The 22,710-nt window shown below is 38.2% G+C and overlaps 1 protein-coding gene across 2 annotated transcripts in view; it reads right to left on the bottom strand.

Moving 5' to 3' along the window:
* The window catches only part of COLEC10 (collectin subfamily member 10), a 156,193-nt gene that overhangs the window by 69,088 nt on the left and 64,395 nt on the right, over positions 1–22,710 (bottom strand). The window contains exons 2-3 of one of the 2 annotated variants that reach the window (NM_001324095.2): positions 1,765–1,932; positions 1,218–1,313 (exon numbers count right to left, since the gene is read on the bottom strand). The exons of the other annotated variant lie outside the window; for it this stretch is intronic. The gene's annotated coding sequence lies outside the window, so the exon portion shown is untranslated. The remainder of the gene's footprint in view (positions 1–1,217; positions 1,314–1,764; positions 1,933–22,710) is intronic. 2 annotated transcript variants of the gene reach the window in all.

Genomic DNA, 22,710 nt, shown 5'->3' with positions numbered 1-22,710 from the left:
GTAGGGGAAGTGCATTAAGCTATGGGTCACCTAGCAGGCTGAGTGAACAGGACGGACTGGGAACGGTTTCTGGAGGAGCAGCTATTTCATATTGAAAACTGCAGGGTAAGTAGTGAATCAACCCTGGGTTTGTGGGTGGGATTGGGAATTGAAGCATGAGGGACTAAAGCGGAAGAAAGAGCATGTTCCAGAATAAAAAGGAAAGCTCTAGAGCACCCCCAAATGAAGGTTCTGCATGGATGGAATGAAGGCTTAAGAGAGAACATGGTGAGAGATGGGGCTGTTGAATGTGAGCAGGGGGATTCATGCTACAGACTGTGAGCCCTGATCTTGTAGAAACAGAATTTGATGGTACCATTTAATGCTAATAGTAAGACAATTACTAGTATACATATTTAGTCATTCATATTGTAATTCTATGTATAATAGTAATTAGGTGGTCATGGAAATTGGCAAAAAATTTCAAAAAAAGGCTAATGTGACTGGAGCCAAGTGGGAGAAGGGAAGAGAGAGGCATTAGAGGGGGCTGTAAGACTAGGCAGAGTCTGATGAAGGTGGGAAACTGCTCTACCATCCACGGGTGTTGAGTAAACACTGAAAACAGGTTCACTTGTGAATGAAATACTGGCAATTGTTCCAAAAGAGGGAACTTCACAAATGAATGACAGTGATAGATTCACAGGTGTTAGTTACATTACCATTTAGATACTACATCTGTTGGTTTAAATACATTTCTAAAACAAGTTCAAATGCCAACTTATATAGAAGAATGGGGAGCAGAGTAAATGCATATCAACTTTTGTGTTTTGTTCAGTTGCTTTTTTAGTGTGTTTGAGAGAAACACCATGTAGTACTAAGATTAAATTTCCACATCCCAAGGATAAGAAAGTTTAAAAGAAGACTGTTTGTTCACACTATGGTCTTCCCTTTTTCCAAAATTACAATAAATTCCTTAAACCATTCATTTAAATTCACTGTCCCATCCTTTGACTTTAACCAGCATGCAATTTTTGATATTCTTAAGGGAATGGGCTAAAGCAAGGAAAGTAAATATTTTACCAAGTATCAGTGAATTTACTGTGTATATAATCCCATTACATTCTCCCAGTAGTCTCAAGAAGTTGAATAATGCTCAAGGTTATCATGCTAGAAACGGCAAAGCTGTGATTTGAGCCCAGGTTGATCTCATATCAAAGCCCAAGTTTATTCTATCTTACTATGTTGATTTTCATGCTCTGTGTTCAGCAACAGCAAATAGCGAGAATCAACTTTCTTGCTGCTTCTCCAAAGTGTAAGGATGTATCAGGCACAGCCTAGAGAAGGAAAGAAGAATGTTGAACTCCTGAATAAATTCAGCCTCTATTTATTGAGCCTCTATTATGTGTCAAACTCTGTGTTTGTGAATAGCATGATGCAAGAGATAGGGTCCAAGCCCTTTAGGCAGTTAGACAACAAAAGTTTATATTTAATATAATCATTCAAGAAAAAAGTACAATTAGATGGAATTATTGCTTTTATAGAATGAATGTCAACCAGATCTAAAGCAAACTTTAATGAATAATAGCCTAGATTTACACGAACAAAAGAAGAGAAGGCACCACAAAGTAAGTGCATAGGATGCACAGGTGCTAGAGATTATCAACTTAGGGTTCAGAAAACTTGGTGGAGAGCAGAAATGGAAACCTCCCATAGACTAGAAGGTCATTTAAATATCTGGAATTTCTCTCATCACTCATGTTCTTTATGTGGGTAAAACTCACATACCTGAGACTGAGCATAGGAGAACCCATTAGAAAAGCAGAGCTAAGTATGGCTTCAGCTCTAGGGCTGGGATCTCATGAAGACACAAGAGTCCAGTCATTCTCCAGAAGGAAATTTCCCATGTTTTGTGTCATACTATCAGTGCTGAATAACTTGTTAATGATGAAGACACTGGCATAGACAGGAAAAAAAAAATATCAAGTTTAGAAATAAACTTTTTTCTGGCATATACTTATTTATTCTTACATGTATTTAGTAACTATGAATGAATTTCATATGTGTCAGGCACTGTTCTGTGTTCCGTAAAAGTGTGATGAATAAGTTAGACATGGTCCTTCATATCAGACAGCTTACAAAATAGAATAATTAGAAAATGGACAAAATATTATAGTATCAAAAGAAAGTATAGATTCTGATCTTAGAGATGTATGAAGATTGTATGGGTCCTTCTCTGGTTTGGGATGGGTCATTCTTGAAATCAGAATGATAGACATAATCTCTGTGTTGGGATCCTTTGGATTTTTTGCCCCTTCAGCTCTGCTCTTCACACTTTTTAACCATCCTCTTTGCCTTGGGAAGCTGACCAATACGAAACTCATCAAAAGGCATGTGCTCTGGCTTCTGCTTGGTTTTAGCCAACGGGAAGCCCCAACAACATTGATGTCTGAGCCCTCTACCTACAGCTACTGCTTCTCTCCAGGTGACCTTCTCACATGGCTCCTTTTGAGGTTCAGTATTTGCTCCCTCCTCTCTCCATTATAGCTTGAGGTGGTAACAGTTCAGTTACTATTTTCTAGCTCCAGGTTATTCCTCTATTCCTTGGGTTTCCCCTGTGTCTGCCTGCATCTTTTTAAATAGTCCCTTTGTAAATGACTCTTCCTTAAATGGTCTTAATTTGAGTGTATCTTCTGTTTCCTGTTTGGACCCTGACTAAAATAACCCCTTTGTTGTATCCCAAGTTTCTATCCTTAATTTACTTATTCTGCTAACATTGATAAATACCATACCCTCAACCAGCTGTAAAGGAAGGTACACAGATAGATGTAATATAATATTAATACATGCCTAATAAACACTGTCACATACTCTTAGAACTTATATCTGTCAAAATGTTCAATATACTTACTATTGGATTCGGCAATTGCATAACAATAATTTACACTGTTTCTTACAATATATATTATAATGAGACAGAGAAATCACTGGTTAAATATATTATGGCACATCTAAACAACTGAGTGGCATGCAGATGCCAGAAAGATCTGTGCATGATCATTGAAAAGTCTCCAAGATATACTAAGTGAAAAATCAAAGTACTCAACAGTACGTTTTGTACCTGTTTGTGTAAAAGAAATAATATACATATAATTAAGTCTGTACATAAAATTTGTTTTTTTAAATTTCTTCTTGGATAAACAGGAAAAGAAATTTTGAAATGGATATTCTTGGGGAGAGATGCTAGAGAAAGAAGATTGTTCTCATTCTTTTAACACTCTGTGTCTGTTTTGTTTTTTAAAACCGTGTGCTTGAATTAATTTTATTAAATATAAAAACATAAACAAATAGAGATGTAATCTTATACCCCTATTTTGCTTAGCCTAATAGAGGAGGTCTGATTTCCAAAATAGTGGTCATTCAGAGGAAGTAAAAAAACTCCCTAAAACAAATATAAGAAACAACACTGGTACCTTAAACAGCATAACTTGAGAAACTTGAAATGGGAACATCTTATTCCACTTATTTCACATGAAAATCTATTGAAACTGACTTCAAAAGCCGAACCACACATCCTTGATAGCTACCAGGGTCCTGTTAACATAACCGCTGCTTGTTTCTTATTATTTTAAAAATACAATTATAACTGGAAGGCCCAAAACCATGTAATTGTCAACTAACTTTTGGAAAATGCAAATGGTTTGCCCAGAGTTTAAAGGAAGGCCACTCCTACCTTCTCTGAACTCTGTGGTGGTCTTTGGATGCAAAATGACTGAGTTGGGGCAATCCTCAAAGATGAACCAAAGAAGAAAATTGTCTTTTCAGGAAAGGTTTTCTGTGGACATCAAAGGTCTCTGAGAAGGGATCTGTATAACACTATTTCTTTTTCCCAGAATTTATTGGCATCCTTCCAAGGTTTTTCACTGGAAATTAGCATCTTCATGTATCCAGATAGGATTGATATCTAAGCTCAGCAGGGTCAGCCATTTTTGGGCAAAGTATATTAATATGCTGTTCATGCCTCAGGCATTATTTTATTAGGTTAGCACAGTTTCATATGTCTTCTTCCTACATCGGCTTTTCACAAATAATCATAGATAGCAGATATTCCTGAAAGTACATAAAAGAATGGCTGATGCACGTATAAAGCCATCTTGAGCTCAGATTTCCTCCAGAAGAATTCAAATCCTAAGCTTTATAATATCTGAGAGAAACTTTTAGTGCACAAACATATTGCATTAATTATTTTTCATTCTGTTTGCAAATTGATGCAGCATGTGTGGCTGTTGTTACGATGTGTGCTGTAAAGAGGCTAAACATTCAAGGTAGAAGAAAGTGTTGTATAGATGGTCTTGCCCAATGAACAGGGAATATTACCCTATTAGTATTGCCGCTAACTCAGAATACTCGTCTTTGCTATTTTTGGACATATGATTAGTTGCCGTTTACTAAACTTCAGGCAGGCATTAGACTAAATACCTATATTATTGCATTTAAACTTTGTGACAACCCTATGAAATAAAGATTTTGATTCCCATTTACAGATGAGAAATGGAGGTTCAGGAATATTATCTGGAATCACACAGCTAGTAAGTGTCAGAATCAGTATTCTGACTTCAACATTTATGTCTTTTCTTCTAAGTCCCAAGAGTAAGACTAACATCATAGTTTTGTTTGTTTTTTGAGATGGAGTCTCACTCTGTCACCCAGGCTGGAGTGCAGTGGCGCGGTCTTGGCTCACTGCAACCTCCGCCTCCTGGGTTCAAGCAATTCTCTGCCTCAGCCTCCCAAATAGCTGGATTATAGGCATCCGCCACCACACTTGGCTAATTTTTGTATTTTTAGTAGAGATGAGGTTTCACTATCTTGGCCAGTCTGATCTTGAACTCCTGACCTTGTGATCCACCCGCCTTGGCCTCCCAAAGTACTGTGATTACAGGCGTGAGCCACCGCACCTGGCCTTTTTTTTTTTTTTTAAATACTGTAAGTTCTGGGATACATGCGCAGAATGTGCAGGTTTGTTACGTAGGTATACATGTGCTGGTTTGTTACATAGGTATACATGTGCCATGGTGGTTGGCTGCACCCATCAACCTGTCATCTACATTAGGAATTTCTCCAAATGCTATCCCTCCCCACCCCCCATCCTCCAATAGGTCCCAGTGTGTGATGTTCCCCTCCCTGTGTCCATGTGTTCTCATTGTTCAACTCCCACTTATGAGTGAGAACATGTGGTGTTTGGTTTTCTGTTCCTGTGTTAGTTTGCTGAGAATAATGGTTTCCAGCTTCATCCATTTCCCTGCAAAGGACATGAACTCATCCTTTTTTATGTCTGGATAGTATACCATTGTGTACATGTGCCACATTTTCTTTATCTAGTCTATTTATTGATGGGCATTTGGGTTGGTTCCAAGTCTTTGCTATTGTGAACAGTGCTGCAATAAACATACATGTGCATGTGTCTTTATAGTAAAGTGATTTATAAACCTTTGGGTATATATCCAATAATAGGATTGCTGGGTCAGATGGTATTTCTGCTTCTAGATCTTTGAGGAAATGCCACACTGTCTTCCACAATGGTCGAACTAATTTACACTCCCACCAACAGTATAAAAGCATTCCTATTTCTCCAGAACCTCTCCAGCATCTGTTATTTCCTGACTTTTTAAATGATCACCATTCTAACTGGCATGAAATGGTATCTCATTGTGGTTTTACTTTTGTATTTTTCTAATGACCAGTGATGATGAGGTTTTTTTCATGTTTGTTGGCTGCATAAATGTCTTTTTTGAGAAGTGTCTGTTAATAACCTTGGCCCACTTTTTGATGGGATTGTTTTTTCTTGTAAATTTGTTTAAGTTTCTTGTAGATTCTAGATATTAGCCCTTTGTCAGATGGATAGATTGCAAAATTTTTCTCCCGTTCTATAGGTTGCCTTTTCACCTGATGATAGTTTCCTTTCCTGTGCAGAAGCTCTTTAGTTTAATAAGATCCCATTTGTCAATTTTGGCTGTTGTTGCCATTGCTTTGGTGTTATAGTCATGAAGTCTTTGCCCATGCCTACGTCCTTAATGGTATTGCCTAGCTTTTCTTCTAGGGCTTTTATGACCAAAGCAGTCACTTAAAAAAAAAATTATCTGAAGAAAGTGAATTACTAAAAAGCCCTAGTAACTTGCCTGTGGCTGAAATCAGCCAGCAGTTACAACCCCAATGTAAAAGACCAAAGTTAGAAAGTGCTGTTACGTTCAGCCCCATGCCCTCCACACCCCCATTTGCAGCTTGAAAAGACCCTAAGTGGGTTTTCTTTTCCAAATCTTTACTTAGAAAGGCTTTCACTCTATCATATTTGCACAGCCTAACTACAGCGTAAAAAAGAGATGGAAAAATTCGAGAGAGCACATCAAAAAAAGCCCGTTTCTGAATTATTTTAAAATGCAGACAATGGCCAGGAAGACCTCTGGTTTGTTTTGGTTTGGTTTGGCTTTATTTTGAGATGGAGTCTCACTCTGCCGCCCAGGCTCCGGTGCAGAGGCGCGATCTCAGCTCACTGCAAGCTCCGCCTCCCAGGTTCATGCCATTCTCCTGCCTCAGCCTCCCAGGTAGCTGGGACTACAGGCGCCCGCCAGCACGGCTGGCTAATTTTTTTGTGTTTTTAGTAGAGATGGGGTTTCACCGTGTTAGCCAGGGTGGTCTCAATCTCCTGACCTCGTGATCCGACCTCCTGGGCCTCCCAACGTGCTGGGATTACAGGCATGAGCCACCGCGCGGGGCAGAAGGCCTTTGTTTATGAGAGAACAAGATCTTCCTTCTCCACAGAGATGGTCCTCATTCCTCCTCTTGTAAAGAGATGGGCAATAATCTAAACAACTCCTTAGGCTGAGTACAAAACCATGGCCTGTAGAATTTCCAGTGGGCCTTTAACGAATATATGAATTGAACCAAAGATCACACTGATTGGGTGACTGTTTTCCTTTTGGTGATGTGACTGTCCTCTCAGTACACTGTGTGGATCTGTCACCATATCCCTTTGCACTCAGAATCACTACCAGAATGAACACTTCGTAATGCACAAAAACCGTAGAATAGCAAAGTTTGAAGGGGCTACACAGGTCTTTAATTTCAACTTCTCCAATTACTTCTGCATTAGCAACCCACCCCTCAACTTATATTTTACAGATAAGGGTGATGTGACTATTGACTCACCAATAAATAAGTTAGGAGTGTAAAAGACTGTAAACCAGATTCACGGATTTCCAATACTCTGTTCTTTGCACAAAATAAGATGACCTCAAATTGAGTCCTGACTAACCTCTTGACAGTGAGTAATCAAACTCTGAAAGCCTCAATTTTCCCGTCTGTAAAATGGGGAGAATACTGGTATTTACCTCACAGGTTTTTTGGTGAAGCTTAAATGAAATTATGCCTGTGAAGAGCTTAGTGCAATGCTTGCTACACAAAAAGTACCAAATTAATTTTAGTTACTATTTTATTAAGGCACTATTTTCCAAATTAAGGTCTCATTCTTTAAGATGTGACATTAAGTTACATTTATTTCTACAAATTTTCATTGCAAGTTGAATTAAGGTCAAGTAAAACTTAATAGAAATCTATAAATAATTATTCCTTCCATTTATCCTCCTTTGAACTAATTATTAAATTTAACACAATCAGAAAAGAATTATGGATAACCAGGATAGAGGTTTGCACTAAGATATAGGGGAATGGGAAAGTATTCTGGAAATGGTCTTGTCTTTCACCCTACTTACTATGCTCTTTCAGCTGCATGTTCCTTGCCAATCATCAGCATCACAATTCACTAACTGATTTACTTAAGTCAGAAACACAATTCTGTTTTCATGACACTATCTTATTTGGTAATTAACTTCTACTTGTTCTTCAAGACTCAGCCCAGGTTCTACCACCTGCCAGGTGGCTTCCTCTGTGTCCAACACCACCCTATTCTCATTTCCCTTATCTCATTACCTTGAATTCTACATACTTCTATGATCATATGTTATTGTGAATATTTTACTTGTCTCTTTCCTCCTGTAATTGTCATTTTCTTGGCCAGAGGGTTGATGTGTTCTTCTTATTGGTAACTCCATGTCTACCCAATACCTGACAGATAGGGTGTACACGACAGATTTAACAAATGCAAACCTCCCTGACTCTTGTGACTGAGAATCATTCACTGCCACATGATATTTCATTTGGTCTATGTACTTCAGAGACGGAACTTTGTAGAAAGCTCCATGTACCCTTAGAGGAAGGATAGGTTTTTATAACCATAAAACAGCATTTGTACAACCACAATTCCAGAGACGTTTAATCTGGTTTGGAATATGATGTAACACTGGCATCACTCTACATCTTTTCTTTCAAAGAATATGTTGGACCTTTAGATATGGTTTCCATCTGAGATGATTAGAGTCCAACAGAGTGTGATACTGTTAGATAATGTCTATCCCTCCATCAGAGTCATCAGTGGGATTTTGAAATCTTCATATAAAATACAGGATGGATAATTATAAGTATTTTTGCACATAATATCTCAGAATTTTAAGGGGCAGGGTAGTAATTGTCTTTAATATAAGACATGCCTTCCCATGATCATCGTTTTATGGAAAGTTATTAATGGATGGAACCACATTTTCTTAAAAATTTTCAAAACAATATGTGTCAAGTGTTATTCTAAGCTCACTGCATGCATTGACTCATTTAATCTTCCCAACAATGTCAGTGAAGTGACTGCTGTTATGACCTCCATCTTAGTGATGAAAACTGAGGCATGTGGAGGATAGGCAACCTGTTTATATTCACATGATGAGTCAGTAGTAGAACCAGGATTCACACTTCAGAGCAAGCCACTGCAAAGTACTAACACACTTTTAGTAGAGACGGGGTTTCACCATATTGGCCAGGCTGGTCTTGAACTCCTGACCTCAAGTGATCTGCCCACCTCAGTCTCCCACAGTGCTGAGATTACAGCATGAATCATCATGCCCAGCCACACCAACACACTTTTATACTGTGGACTAAAGTATATTTTTAATTTAAAAACATTTGTTATATTACAAATATTGAAATATTAGTGATATACTATTAAATATTGAAAATTATCTATGGCTTAAAATTATATTCTTATTGGAGTAAAAACATAATGCCCCAATCTACATACCTGATATTCCTATAAAAGTCTTTTACAATTGATGACCACAATTAAGATATTTCCATAGTACCCAACCACGTGGCTTTACTCTTTTACACCTTTAACAATCTCTAGTCTGCACTGTAACAAAGAGGGAGATATGTGGCTCCAGGCAACTAATAATCTGCAGGGGACTTCGGCTTTACAGGGACAGGCCAAAGGAGGATGAGTAGGGACATTTTCCTACTCTATCCCTATTCCTGCAAACTACATACATATATAGTTAAGGAGACACTTTTAGAATTTCTTGAGACATAATAACAGTAGGCTTCCTGGTCAACCCATGCTGCTAACTATGGTTTTATATAGGCTTGTTTAGAGCTAAAGGGACCACAAAGATTTCCCATCAATTAACAAGGGCATGGAGAATGCTTAAAGTAGTAGAAACACCATTTGTCTTATACTTATTCTTTATTCTTGACTTCAAGTCACTTTATGTAGAACTATTTGTGTTTTCAATGAGATTAAAAGTTCCTTGAAACTAGGGAACAGGTCCCTATTTCTTTTCCATTGCCCTCAGGATGGTTATAACCCAAAGCACATGAATTAGACCCAATGAGAGGTACTTTATTAGGTGATATACCCACCTTTGCGAGGCAAAACTGCTCCATCTAAACGTGAGTGTGATGGACAAGATGACTCCAATAGGTTTCTTTACACTTATTGTTTTGTGTGTGTGTGTGTCTGTATATAATCACATAGTCCTTATTATCATAATACCTACGGTCCTGACTCCTATTATCTCCTATTTTCATATAGCATAATACCCATGTCTTGAAAGACAAAGAAATAGTGAATGGAGATCCAGATTCAGAGACTGAAGACTTGATTGTCCAGATTGCTGATCGTCTCCCAGATGATTGTGCTGGCTTCAGCTTTTGCCTTTTTATAATCTAATATCCACGAAGAAGTCAGAATGGCCTTTGCAAAACGAAAATCTGATGATGTTACTCCCGCACTAATTAAGTTCCTCCTGCTTCAACTCTCACATACCCTTGCATAAAGTCTAAAGGCTTAATACAGGTTAGAAATCCCTTTGGGAACCCTGTGCTCTGAACCACTGTGGCATGACTCCCCGCAGCTAGTGAGGTGCCCCTGTTACATGTTGCACATTCCCTGCGAGAGGACTTACCCCATTGACTGTCTTTGCTCAGTGCTGTAACAGTCATCTCCCTAATGACTGTAGATTTTGTGAGAGCTGGAGCCACATTTCCCTTTATTCATCTTTGAATTACTTGCATCTAGCACCATTAACATGTAGTAGATGCTCAACACATAATTGTTGAATAAAGTAATGAATAAATGAACAAATACCATTAATTACTAGTTACCACTGTTAACTAGCCATAGTGATTTTTATTCTTGTCAGCAAGGGAAAATAATGTTTACCTACCTAAGATGACATGACCACCTATTAATTAACCTTTGAAACAGCCTTCACATAGATTATGGAGCATTTTCATTTTAGAAAACATATAATAACCCTTTACAGGATATGGCTTGACTGTGTCCCCACCCAAATCTCAACTTGAATTGTATCTCCCAGAATTCCCATATGTTGTGGGAGGGACTCAGGGGGAGGTGATTGAATGATGGTAGCTGATCTTTCCCGTGCTATTCTCCTGATAGTGAATAAGTCTCACGAGATCTGATGGGTTTATCAGGGGTTTCCTCTTTGGCTTCTTCCTTATTTTCTCTTGCTGCTACCATGTAAGAAGTACCTTTCACCTCCCACCATGATTCTGAGGCCTCCCCAGCCATATGGAACTGTTAAGTCCAATTCAACCTCTTTTTATTCCCAGTCTCGGGTATGTCTTTATAAGCAGCATGTAAATGAACTAATACATTATATTTATGTGTCTTTTACACTTGACATTCACTTTTCCCAAAAGTCTGTCCTTTATACTCCTGTGCAATTTCAATGTAATATATGATATGTATCAAATCTTTCCTTAGCTATTTATCTAGCAGTTATTCATTTAATATGCCAGACACACTTCTAAGATGCCAAGAAACAAAGATGTATAAGACAAGGCTCCTTCTCCTGAGGACCTTGTACTAAATGGGGGAGACAAGTAGGTGAATACAATAACCCTTATATCTGCTAAGAACTGAGTACATGCTTTGTGAATTTTGAGTGCATTCTCTCATTTAATCCTCACACAGATCCTTGACACAGATCCTTCAAGGTAAGCTGAGAAAATTAAGGGTGAAATTAGGCAATAAGGCTACTACACTAATGTGAACTGAGTTATGATTTAAACCCAGAACTTTCCAATTCCAGAGTTCAATGAACCACATTATAATACAAGTTGTTAAGTGTTTTAGCCAAAATTTGAATAGAAGAGGCAAGGTAGCATCGAGGAGAGAGGGAGTAATTCTTCCATAGCCAAAGAAACGAACATCTGAAGGTGTTAGTGCACTCAAAGACATAAGTCAGAGGAAGGTTCATAGAAAAGAAGATATTTTAACTGTGCAGAGAAGTTAAACTCACAAAACAATTGGTCAAGGTCCCAGAGCAATGCAAAAGCCTGAGAAGATGAGTTCAAAATAATTAGCTGTTGCTGGAGAATTAGCTACATATAAGGAAGTGGCAAAAGAAAAAATTGTTGTCCCTCTGAAAAGCAAATGTGTACTTTGTCTTATTGGCTGTGGAATTTTAAGGAGGAAACTGATGACTGGATTTGAATTTGCATAAAAGATCACTAGCTATTTACAAAGGATTATTTGGAAGGAAGAAAGAAAAATAAATAAATAAAGACATAATCCAGATGACAGCATACAAGGATCTGAACTAGGGAAATATCATTGAGACTAGAGAGGGGTCATGAATATGAAATATATATAAAAGAAAAACTTAATAAAATGTATGAATTAAATGTGGGCATCAGTCTAGGAGAAGTCCAAGGTTATATCTTTTGATATAGGTTAAATCTGTTGAATTTATCTCCATGCACCATTTTATTTTCCCAGGTGTCTTGAGTGACTAAGGAATAACACAACTGATTGGGCACTTACTATATGATAGACATTGTTTTAAGCAATCACAACAAACCATGTGATATATATATACTATTGTTATTCCTGTTTTATAGCAGTGGAAAGTGAAGCACAGGAAGATTAAATAATTTTTCCAAGGATATCAAGCATTCATCCCAAGGTGTGACAGTCAACCCAGACTCCCTTTAGGACCACAGCATATTTCCCTAATATCTGGCTGTGCTCCTGCCTTCAGCCCCCAGCAATCAGCCTCATTAGAAGTCACATTGCCCAAAGTCATGCTCCCCTTCCCAGGGGCAGCCTACAGCCAAAAATTGATAGATGCAAGTTTGCAAAGGTATGGCTTTCTCTCTCCAGCTTCAGGCAACTCTGAAAGTTTATCCCAGCTTCAGCTTCAGACATCCTCATAAGATTGGCTTTGTTGGATGTTCCCACGGCCAACTTCCCTTTTTGCCCAAACCTGATTTCTTCCCTAACCCCCACAGGTGTTGATCTCAACAGCACTATTTAGTAAACATCCTACAAACTATTCCCATTTTCAGAGTCTGTTCTCTGAGAATCCCATCCTTAAGAGCCACCAAATGGCAGAGCTACCATTTGAATCCAGATGTACTGATTGTATAGAGCTAAAACCATGGTTGTTTTTGTTTTTGTTTTGAGATAGGATCTTGCTCTGCAGCCTCAACCTCCTGAACTCAAGCAATTCTCCTGTCTGAGCCTCCCAAGTAGCTGGGATTGTAGGCACGTGCCACCATAATTGGGTAGTTAATTTTTATTTTTATTTTATTTTTTAGTGGAGATGAGGTCTTGCTATGTTGCCCAGGCTGGTCTCAAACTCCCGGCCTCAAGCAATCCTCTGGTCTTGGTCTCCCAAAGTGCTAGGATTACAGGCATGAGCCACCATGACTGGCTTTGTCACGATTTTAAACACTTTTCTATGTAGCTTCCCAAAATCAAAGAACTTAGGGCAATGCCCAGTACTGCAAAAATTATTCATAAAAGGACAAATTATGACTCCTACTTTTTGTATTAATTCATGATACAGGATAGTCATTCAATAAAAATGTACTTAAAATGAAAAGAACTGAGAAAATGTTGAACCAGTTACTGTGAAAGTCAAGGGAGGAGAAAGTTTCAAGAAACAGAAACTAGTCAATCACATCAGGTATTGAGAAAAGATAAAATAGAAGAAAACTAAAAAGAGTTCAACGGCTTTGGTGATAGGAAGACATGAGCAATCCAAGTGAGTTGTTGATGTGACATGATGCAGGCATAAACTAAATTGCTGTGTTATAGTGAGAATCTAGAGATGAGGTGTGATTGTAAATTATGCCATCAATAATCCTGGCTTTCAAGAAAGCTCAAATGGAGTCTTGATGTTTTCTAACATTGCCTATTTGTCAAGGTAAAATTGGGGCTATACCTGCTGCATGTACACAGAGAACCTAGAGCAATATGGTTGCAATAAATCCTTAGCAAACATCTAAACCCATTTACAGAATATCTTCTCCTTTCTCAAGAACTGGAGGTTCCCAAAAGGGAATTCTCAAATCCCACACTGTGATGTGGTCAAGCCTCGCGCTTAGTCACTTTGTGCCTGGTGTCCACACTGAAAATTTTTTGAAGACCAAGGTTTTTCTTAAAGCTTGCCCTGCCATTACACTATGAAGAACACCAGGAACTGTTTCAGGTAAGAAGTTCCTGACCTAAGGCCACAGGGGTGGGTGGCCCAGGGGAATTAACCACAGAGAGTGTTTCCCACGAACCCACAGAGCACAGAATCCATTTCTGAAATACTGGTGCTCCTCTGTGCTTGTTTATTCTTAGCAGAGTGCAGTACCAAGCGTTATGTAATAGAGGCAATAGCAGCTAAGGCTTTAAAAAATAATCTCTGCGGTAAGTCTAAAAGCAAATGTTGAAGACTGGAACATTTCAGATTTTCCACTCAGTGGATTGAATTGCCAGATTCTTCAGTATCCCTTTCTTTCCATTTAGTTTTAGAAAGCAAAGATCAAATGCATGAACTTGCAGTCAATTTCAACATTCTGGAAGGAATAGACTGTAGATTTGAGCTAGAGGCCAAGCTCTGAAAAACGGTACTGTGTAGACACAAATATGTGTTACTGGAATTATATGAAAGTCTTACAGAAAGTGGGATCTTTTTGTTAGTTATGATAATCCATGTAAATTCCCAGCTCATTGTAACTGGGTGGAGGGAATTACAGGTCTATTATCTTGCCCGGATCTCTTCTGGTTTAAAAAAAGAGTCATACGAGAACTAAATCAATAAATCCTAAATCCCCTTTCAATTGCCTTTGAACCATTTATAGCAGATGTAACTTTTATTCTGCAAAACTTGGAAGCAAGGAACATCATATTATTCTCTTTCTGTAAGTCAGATGACTTCTCCTGAGGCCTTCATGTTTCTGGCAAAAGTGAAAAAAATGTATCCAGTCTTTAATATGGCACTTCCTCTTGGGTATTATATAAGAAGAGTAGACATGTCATGTCATCTGAACATTCAATGAAGGGTCCTCTGCCCACTGCCCTCAAAGGCAGGTGGCTGCACACTGTCATAGATGTGTGGTGTGTGTGTGTGTGTGTATGTGTGCATATATGTGCATACATGTATGCATATGTATGTGTGTGTTTGTGTGTTGGTTGGGGGTGATTCTACCATGAGGACTGGGTCTTGAAAATCAGTGTTCAGCATCCCAAGATGCTCCATGAACCCCCATTCTCATCTGAGGTCATATACATAACTTATGCCTTATAAGGGGACTCACTATAAGAAAACTACTGAAATCTCATCAGTTCCTGTCACTAGGAAATCTCTAAAAATAATTTTAAAGTACGTTTTTTTCCTATTTTATTCCACTTCCACTTTTCACAATCCTTAAAGCCTTTCTTCAAAAACGGCAAGAGCGAAGGCCTCAAGGAATGTTCTATGAATGGTACCCATCAACTTTGTCTTTCTTCAAGGTACCCATCTAGGTACTCATCAACTTTGTCTTTCACCAAAAGCATACTGCCACCTCCTACCCAACCAGAGGAGTGGAAACACAAAATTTAAGGCACTTTTTCTGAATGAAAGACTGAAAAACTGAGAACACTGCAAATTTAATATCTAAACTGTACCCTATACTCTTTACCTCCCAGCCCTTATTACATTGGCATGTAAACATGTATCTGCCAAATGGAACTATCTAGAAGGAATATACATGCGTATGAGGTTTTGATTTGCAGTGCCTGTCTCTGGACAAAAGCAGCTGGTGTACAGGACTACCATGCACCCTTCTAAAACCAAAACACGTGCTTTTGCACCATTAAAAATCCTGCTTTTGCCCATTAAAAAAATCTATTCCTCTGATTTCAAATGATGGCATACAATTGTAGCTTTCATAGAATGCATTGTCAGCAAATAAGTTGATTGAAAAATAGAGAATGAATGTTGTTTTTAGCTGAAACATTTAATGATGGAGATTAAAAACTATAACAGAAACAATGCCATTGTTCTGTTTTACTTACTGTTATTCACTCTTTCAACATAACTAAAATTTAAAATCAGAATATTTTTTAAATGTCAAGGAAAGCACCAAGAAAGAACTAATATGAATAGTTACTGTGGTTAATGTGTTTAGAAACTAGAGGTTAAAATAAGTCTTTGGAACAAAGTTTTAGTTCTGTTGATTTCATTTCTCTTTCAATAGCTTGTACCTCTCTGCCTTTTTTTCCATATTAAAAGTATTCTATGCCAGGCTCTGTGCTTCTCTCTAAAGTTTCTCTTGAAATTGTCACTCTCAAAAATATCTGTATAAGGGATACCATACATTTATTATTCTACAAATGAGATACATACATGAAACAAATAGACATAAATCCTTTTATTCTTGGACTATATATTGGGGGAATGAATAAAGGATGAACAATAAATAGTAAATATAATAAATAAGTAAATTTTGTGGAATATAAAACAGTGATACAAGCTACAGAAAAGAATAGACAAGCATAAGTAAAATCAGAAAGCAGGCAGTGACGGACAATGTGTAATGTTAAATACAGTGGCCAGCGTAAGCTTGATTGAGAAGATAATATTTAAGCAAAGGCTTGAAGCAAGAGAGATATAAACCATGTGTATATCTGGGATAGACCAGGAATTACCACAGTTGCTTCCAGTGGAGTAAGTAAGCAGTGCAAAGACTCTCCAACAGGAGGTGTTTGTTGAGTAAGAGGAAGATCAAGGAGCTCAGACTGAGCCACAGAAAGACTAATAGGAAATGATGTCAGAGAGGATGGAAAACTGGGGTATGGAGGGCCTTGGGCAGATTTTCAAGATCTTGGCATTTACTTTCAGTGAGATGACAGCTACTGGAGGGTTTTTAACAGAAGAACCTGATCTGGCTTACATTTTAAAAGGATTACTGTGACTACTGAGCTGGGGAGGCAGCCAGTGGAGGGGACTGGGTATTATGCAAGAAGAGTAGAGGTTAGGAGGCTCCTGCAACAATCCAGGTGAGAGGTGAGTGCCCTTCATACAACAGTGGTAGAAGAGAAGGTGGGAAAAAGTCACTGGTCACTTTCTAGATCTATTTTGAAAAAAACAGGTCAAAATAATTTCCTGGGAGATTGGATGTGGGGTGTGAAAAAAATAAGTAGTCTTTCCTAACATCATTATAAGACAAAAATGATTAGCTCTCCTTTTTTTATCTTCCTTACTTTGGGCAGTTTCTCCTGCTTAGTATCGAGGTCATCTTTATGTAATGTTAACATACATTTCCCCTACCTTTTAAAAAATCTTTGGTGCTTCATTCATCACAGATTTATCAAGAAATAAACAAAGGATTGAGGCACAAATACTTGACTATGGGAGTGGCCTGTCTCCTTAAGAGAGGGTGCTCAGTCTCTTTGTTTTCTATTTTGCCCTCCTTAAATGATCTGGCCTGTGTTTAAATTATCACAGAACACATAGAATCCAGACTCTTTTCACAATTTATGTAGCTGATTTAATATACTTTTGATAGTTCTATAACAGTCCTGACAGTTACAGCTTTCATTTTTTTTCTAAAATATCAAGATATTGTATTTTGACATTGCTGGCAGAGAGGCTAGAGGAATCTTGGCATTTGAGTAAGAGGATTGCTAGAGGAAAGGCTACTGACTATAAAATGGTCTTGACAATTTTTTCCCTAAAGCCAGCTTTATGGGTAATAATTATGTTGTCTAACAAGTGTAGAGATGGCTTTTCTGTTGACCTGTTTCATATACATTCACTTACATGTAATCATTACAGAAAATCTGTGAATGATGTTGGCTGCATTGTACAGAGGAGCATATTGTCACAAGGAGCTTCACTAATTTCCCCCATGTCATACCACTGATAAATGACAGAGCCAAGCTCAAAATTGGTTTCAGATTTTGACTCTGGTCATCTTTTTACTACGAGGGCCAGGCTTGTTTCTTCTTGTTGGAGTTGATGGATCTAGAAAAAGACATTGAACCATAGAAGAACATTCCTCTATTTAACAGTGCTGCCAAGGATGGCTCTTCCCAAGAGCAAAAAGTGGTGTTGCTCAGTAAGTTCATAGGACTCTAAGGCCTTAACCCAAGATGCACACTCATTCAGGATGAAACACTGTCTATTCCATTCCTCTCCCCAGAAAGCCTTTGGCCTCTACCAGCTCCAGCAGTAGTAATTCCTGCCAGCTCCTACTGCACTGATTGTAGAGGACATGCATTCTCTGCTCCTAAACTGCATGAGACAGTCCCTGTCTTGGGCATAATTGTTGCTGTAGTTCATCTGCAGGGAGTCAAGTTCTATGATGAATGAGAGGACCTGTTTATGAAGTCTGCAGTGCTACACAGCCCTTTAAGAAATGTTTAAGTCATGTTAGCATAAATTTGGAAATAATTTGATACATGCCTTTTCACATGCTAGAAGAATAAACAATCACCATCTGCCTTTCCACAAAATAATATAAATGGAGCTAACATTATAGATTTAAATTGAGGCTGCTTCTAAAATTAGGGAAATAGAAGACACAAAATTTGCTCTCTCAGAATTTTATTGGTTTTTCAATTAACATTGAATGTTTGCTCCTTAAAATGTTGCTTACTGGATCACAAATGAAGTGTGTCAGTGAATAATAACTGACATCAATTTCTATATTCCATATATCATCTATAATGTTGAAATGACTGATAATGAGCAAGTCCTATATGTTTAATCACTCTTCAACTAAAGTAACATCATTAGAATATTGTACAGCATGAAATTCATGTGTATTTTTAATGATTCTAACATACATAAAATCCATTTTTAGATAAATTTAAATATAGCATAATAAAAGGGGTTATTTTCTTAAGAAGAACTAGGCATGTTGTAAATAATCACATTTAATTTAGCACAATTTTAGGAACTGATTCAACACTGACAAGCTTTTAGCCTTCAGGACATTTCAAGAGACTTATAATAAAAAAGTAAGTGGAATCTTTACTGTCACACTGATATTTGTGTCCATGATAATACCAGGTAACCATAGAAATTATTTGCTCAGTTAGCTACTTCCTGTCTTATCCTTATTGAATACATCTTCAGTGTACTAAGTTCATCCACAACTGGCGGGATACTACTAAGCTTGACTCTTAATCAGAACCTTAAAATTTAATCCCAGTACTCAGCAACCTTATGTACTAAGTGTCTGTGTACATCTACTAGGCAACCACAGTTACGAAACAAACCTGGAAACCAATTCTTTAGTTTTTGGAAAAGGCAAAAACCTCCAAAATGTTTATTTGAATAGGGAATATTTTATTGATGTATTCTAAGCACCTAAAACAGTACCTGGTAAACAGTTGGGCTCAAAATAAATATTTATTTAACGGTGGTTAAATGAATAGATGTTCTATTTTTCTTACCACCATTTCAATCATTTCAGCAAATGTGAGTGCCTTCCCTATGCTAAGCAATATACTAGGCCCTAGGGAACGTAGAATGAGGCAGAGCAGCAGAAACCCAGTTCACAACCTTGAATGTCTAGGGACTTGGTAGGCCAGGATAAAATGAGGGGAAAAAGGAAGGCCAGGCTATGAATAAGTCCTGTGTGATCATAGATGAGAAAGCTACTGCCTGCTCAGGGAAATCAGACAGAACTTCAAAGAGGAGACGATGCATGATCTGGACCTTGTGTGAGAGAAATATTGAGAAGTGAATGAAATGCCCCAGAATCAAATGTAAACTTGTATACTTTTTTTCTTCAAAAGTAAATTCTTGTTACTTTCATGAAGCCAGATGACATCACATTGAAATTTTAACTAGGCTGTTTAGCTTTATTAATTGTTTATTGGTATAGGCCTTCAAGTGAACAATATTTATTAAATGCTAGATGCTGTGCTTGATACTGGGTGTACATCATCATATGAGACGGCAATTCCTGCCCTAGTGGATTGACACTGTCGTGAGAAGGGCATGCATTAAAAATGCAATTGCTGTGGAATCTGGTTAGAGTAAGGAGTGGGGGAGGTTCAGCGGTGTGTCATGGATGTATAGAGCAGAGGCCTCTTACCTGGTCTGTGGGCTAGGAAGACCTCACACAGGAAAAGACTTTGAGGTTGAAACTTGGCAGATGACTGTGGACAATCGGGGAAAAATGGAAGTGGGGTGGTGGGGGCATGATGTGGAAACAAGGAAAGGACATTCCAGGAAGACGGAAGACCATGGGTGAAACCACCCACTCCCATAGGCTCCAAAGACGGATTTCTTGAGCATCTTCAAAATGTTTGGCTTCAAGAGCACATGGAATACAGATTTTCCTTCACTATCCCTCCCTTCCCTTCCTCCTGGGTCCCTTCAATACGGACTGCACTGACAGGCAACAGAGAACATAGGCTTCCAGTTTTCCGGTATTCTCCTCCCACTGACCCTGAATTTGCAAGCCACAGGTTTCTTGGAACTGTGAATATTGTTTCAACTCAAGCTAAAACTGGAGATGTGTTTTGAGTCACAGTGTGCAAGCATATTTATACCATCTGTTTATGACACTTACAGGTGGACACTATGATTCATTACACATACAACATGCTAAACATAGAAGCTTAGAAAATCCTGAGCTCTGGGAGTTGTTGGATGCGGGTAACTGCAGAAGGGGAAGATAGTAGGCATCTTTTCTTAGAATTTTATAGCTTTTTCAAACAAAATCCTTATCTTGACAAAAAGGCTTCGAGCATATGAAAATGGGAATGGAAGAAAGAGGGTAACAAAAGATTGTATACCACTGTGACCAGTTATGGAAGATTTCCCTGGGTACTGGGGGGATGTGTATGCCCATGTATGCACACATTAAATAATCGGAAAAGATTTACTACCTATGGAATCAGAATCACATAATCTCCATGCTAAAGGGAAGAATTTGGTTCTGAGACAATTACTTCTTTACTTCCAGTAATGTTTCTACATGATTTGGACTTTACAGTTTGTATTATACTCTTCATAGACAGGTAATTCCATAAATTAAAAAATCATATTAGGATCATCTGATTACACATCAACCTAAAAATCAAGTCACAAGACATATCCATTTTTTGTTTTCAGAAACTATTCCCCTATACATAAGTTAGGATTTCCATTGGCAAAAGTCAAAGCAGGCATCAGTTTATTTTGTATAGCTTAGCCAAATGTGCAAACTTTTAACAGCCCTGTAAATAGCAATAACTCTTAAAGTAGTTTCAATAAGCAAGCATCTCAAAGCCAAGCTGTCTGATGGGAACCTTTCCCCTTGGGGTAGTAGAAACATCCAAAAGAGTACAGGAAGAAAGAACTCACTGCTGTATTCAATTAGTTGAGAAACCATCAAAGTAAATAAGGCAATACCTTTAAGAACACACAGAAAAAGGAGTCAGTGAAGTAGAACAGATTAGAAGAAAAAGGAGAAGTCTGTTTTAGCTACCAAGTGACCCTAGGGGCGAAAGAATAATTTCTTCTTCAGGACACTTTTAGTAAAGGTCTCCCACTAAGATGGCGCAGTGCAAACAATTTCTTTTCATGTCTGTAGGGAACTAATGAAGTTTGCAGGAAATACAGGCAGAGTTTAATTCCAAACAAAGTACAGCAGGTCAGCTACTAGGAGCAACTTTAGAAATCTTTTGTCCCCTCCTAGAATAATAATGTTTTTGAAAATTCCCGATGGCTATGGGGTAAGTCCTTTACGTTTTAGAAATAAGACATAGCCCAGAGGAAAACTCATGAATTCGATGCCAAGTTTTGCCCTCCCTCAAGGTGGCTTTCACAGAATTCTCAGACTTCTTAAACAGCTAATAACACTTATCTCAGGAAGTTATTTTTAGCTATACATTGTTTAATAATTATTTATTGAGTCCTACTATGGGCCAGGATTTGTGTCATGCTGAACAATTAGGTTACCCAGATACATGAGGTTTGTGACTTCAAGATTAAGAGTAAGAAAAACACCAATAGATATTTATACAATTAATTATTTAAAATCACAGTGGTATGCATAGTGATGTAGGAGCTCCGAAGGGGTAACTCTGTCTGGAAGAAGTGATATATGACAGCAATTTCCAAAACACAGCTCTCAATAAGAGGTTAGTCAGTATGCTGTGTTCCTCAATCACATGTACTTGTGGAAGACATGGCTAGTCAACCCTTGCACTCATTCCCACAGAGCTGGTTTCAGCCTCAGAATCCTTCTCGACACAATTCTTCAAGCACCATCAATAAGTAAGAGCTGGTATGGAACCTACTTACTATCTGGCTCTCTAAAAATGCAAGGAGTTGTCATTACTATAGTCTTGAAAACAATTACCTGCTTAAATTGCTGATCACCAAAGGGTATCATTTTCTTGGTAGGTATTGCCTTATAATTAACAGTTCCTAAACTCACTCTCCAAACTCAGCAGTAGAGTGTAGTGGTTAAGCTCACAGTTTCTGGAACCACATGCCCTGGATTCAGATATCGAATCTACTAATCCCTAGCAATATATCCTCGGATACGTCACTTAGTCATTCTATGCTTCAGTTTCCTCATTTGTAAAAGTCCCAGTTTCCCATATGAAAAAAAGCTCATCATCAATGGTCATTAGAGAAGTGCAAATCAAAACCACAATGAGATAGCATTTCATGCTAGTTAGAATGGCCATTATTAAAAAATCAGGAAACAGCCAGGTGCGTGGCTCACCCCTGTTATCCCAGCACTTCAGGAGCCCGAGGCAGGTGGATCACAAGATCAAGAGATCAGACCATCCTGGCCAACATGGTGAAACTCCATCTCTACAAAAAATACAAGAATTAGCTGGGCGTGGTGGTGGGTACCTGTAGTCCCAGATACTCAGAAGGCTGAGGCAGGAGAATTGCTTCAACCCAGGAGGCGGCAGTTGCAGTGAGCTGAGATTGTGCCACTGCACTCCAGCCTGGTGACAGAGCAAGACTCTGTCTCAAACAAACAAACAAAACAACCAACCAAAGAAACAAAAAATCAGGAAACAACAGATGCTGGCAAGGCTGTGGAGAAATA

Source organism: Homo sapiens, chromosome 8 (assembly GCF_000001405.40).
Source record: "Homo sapiens chromosome 8, GRCh38.p14 Primary Assembly".
Classification (NCBI taxonomy): domain Eukaryota; kingdom Metazoa; phylum Chordata; class Mammalia; order Primates; family Hominidae; genus Homo; species Homo sapiens.
This window is presented reverse-complemented; position numbering and strand designations above follow the sequence as displayed.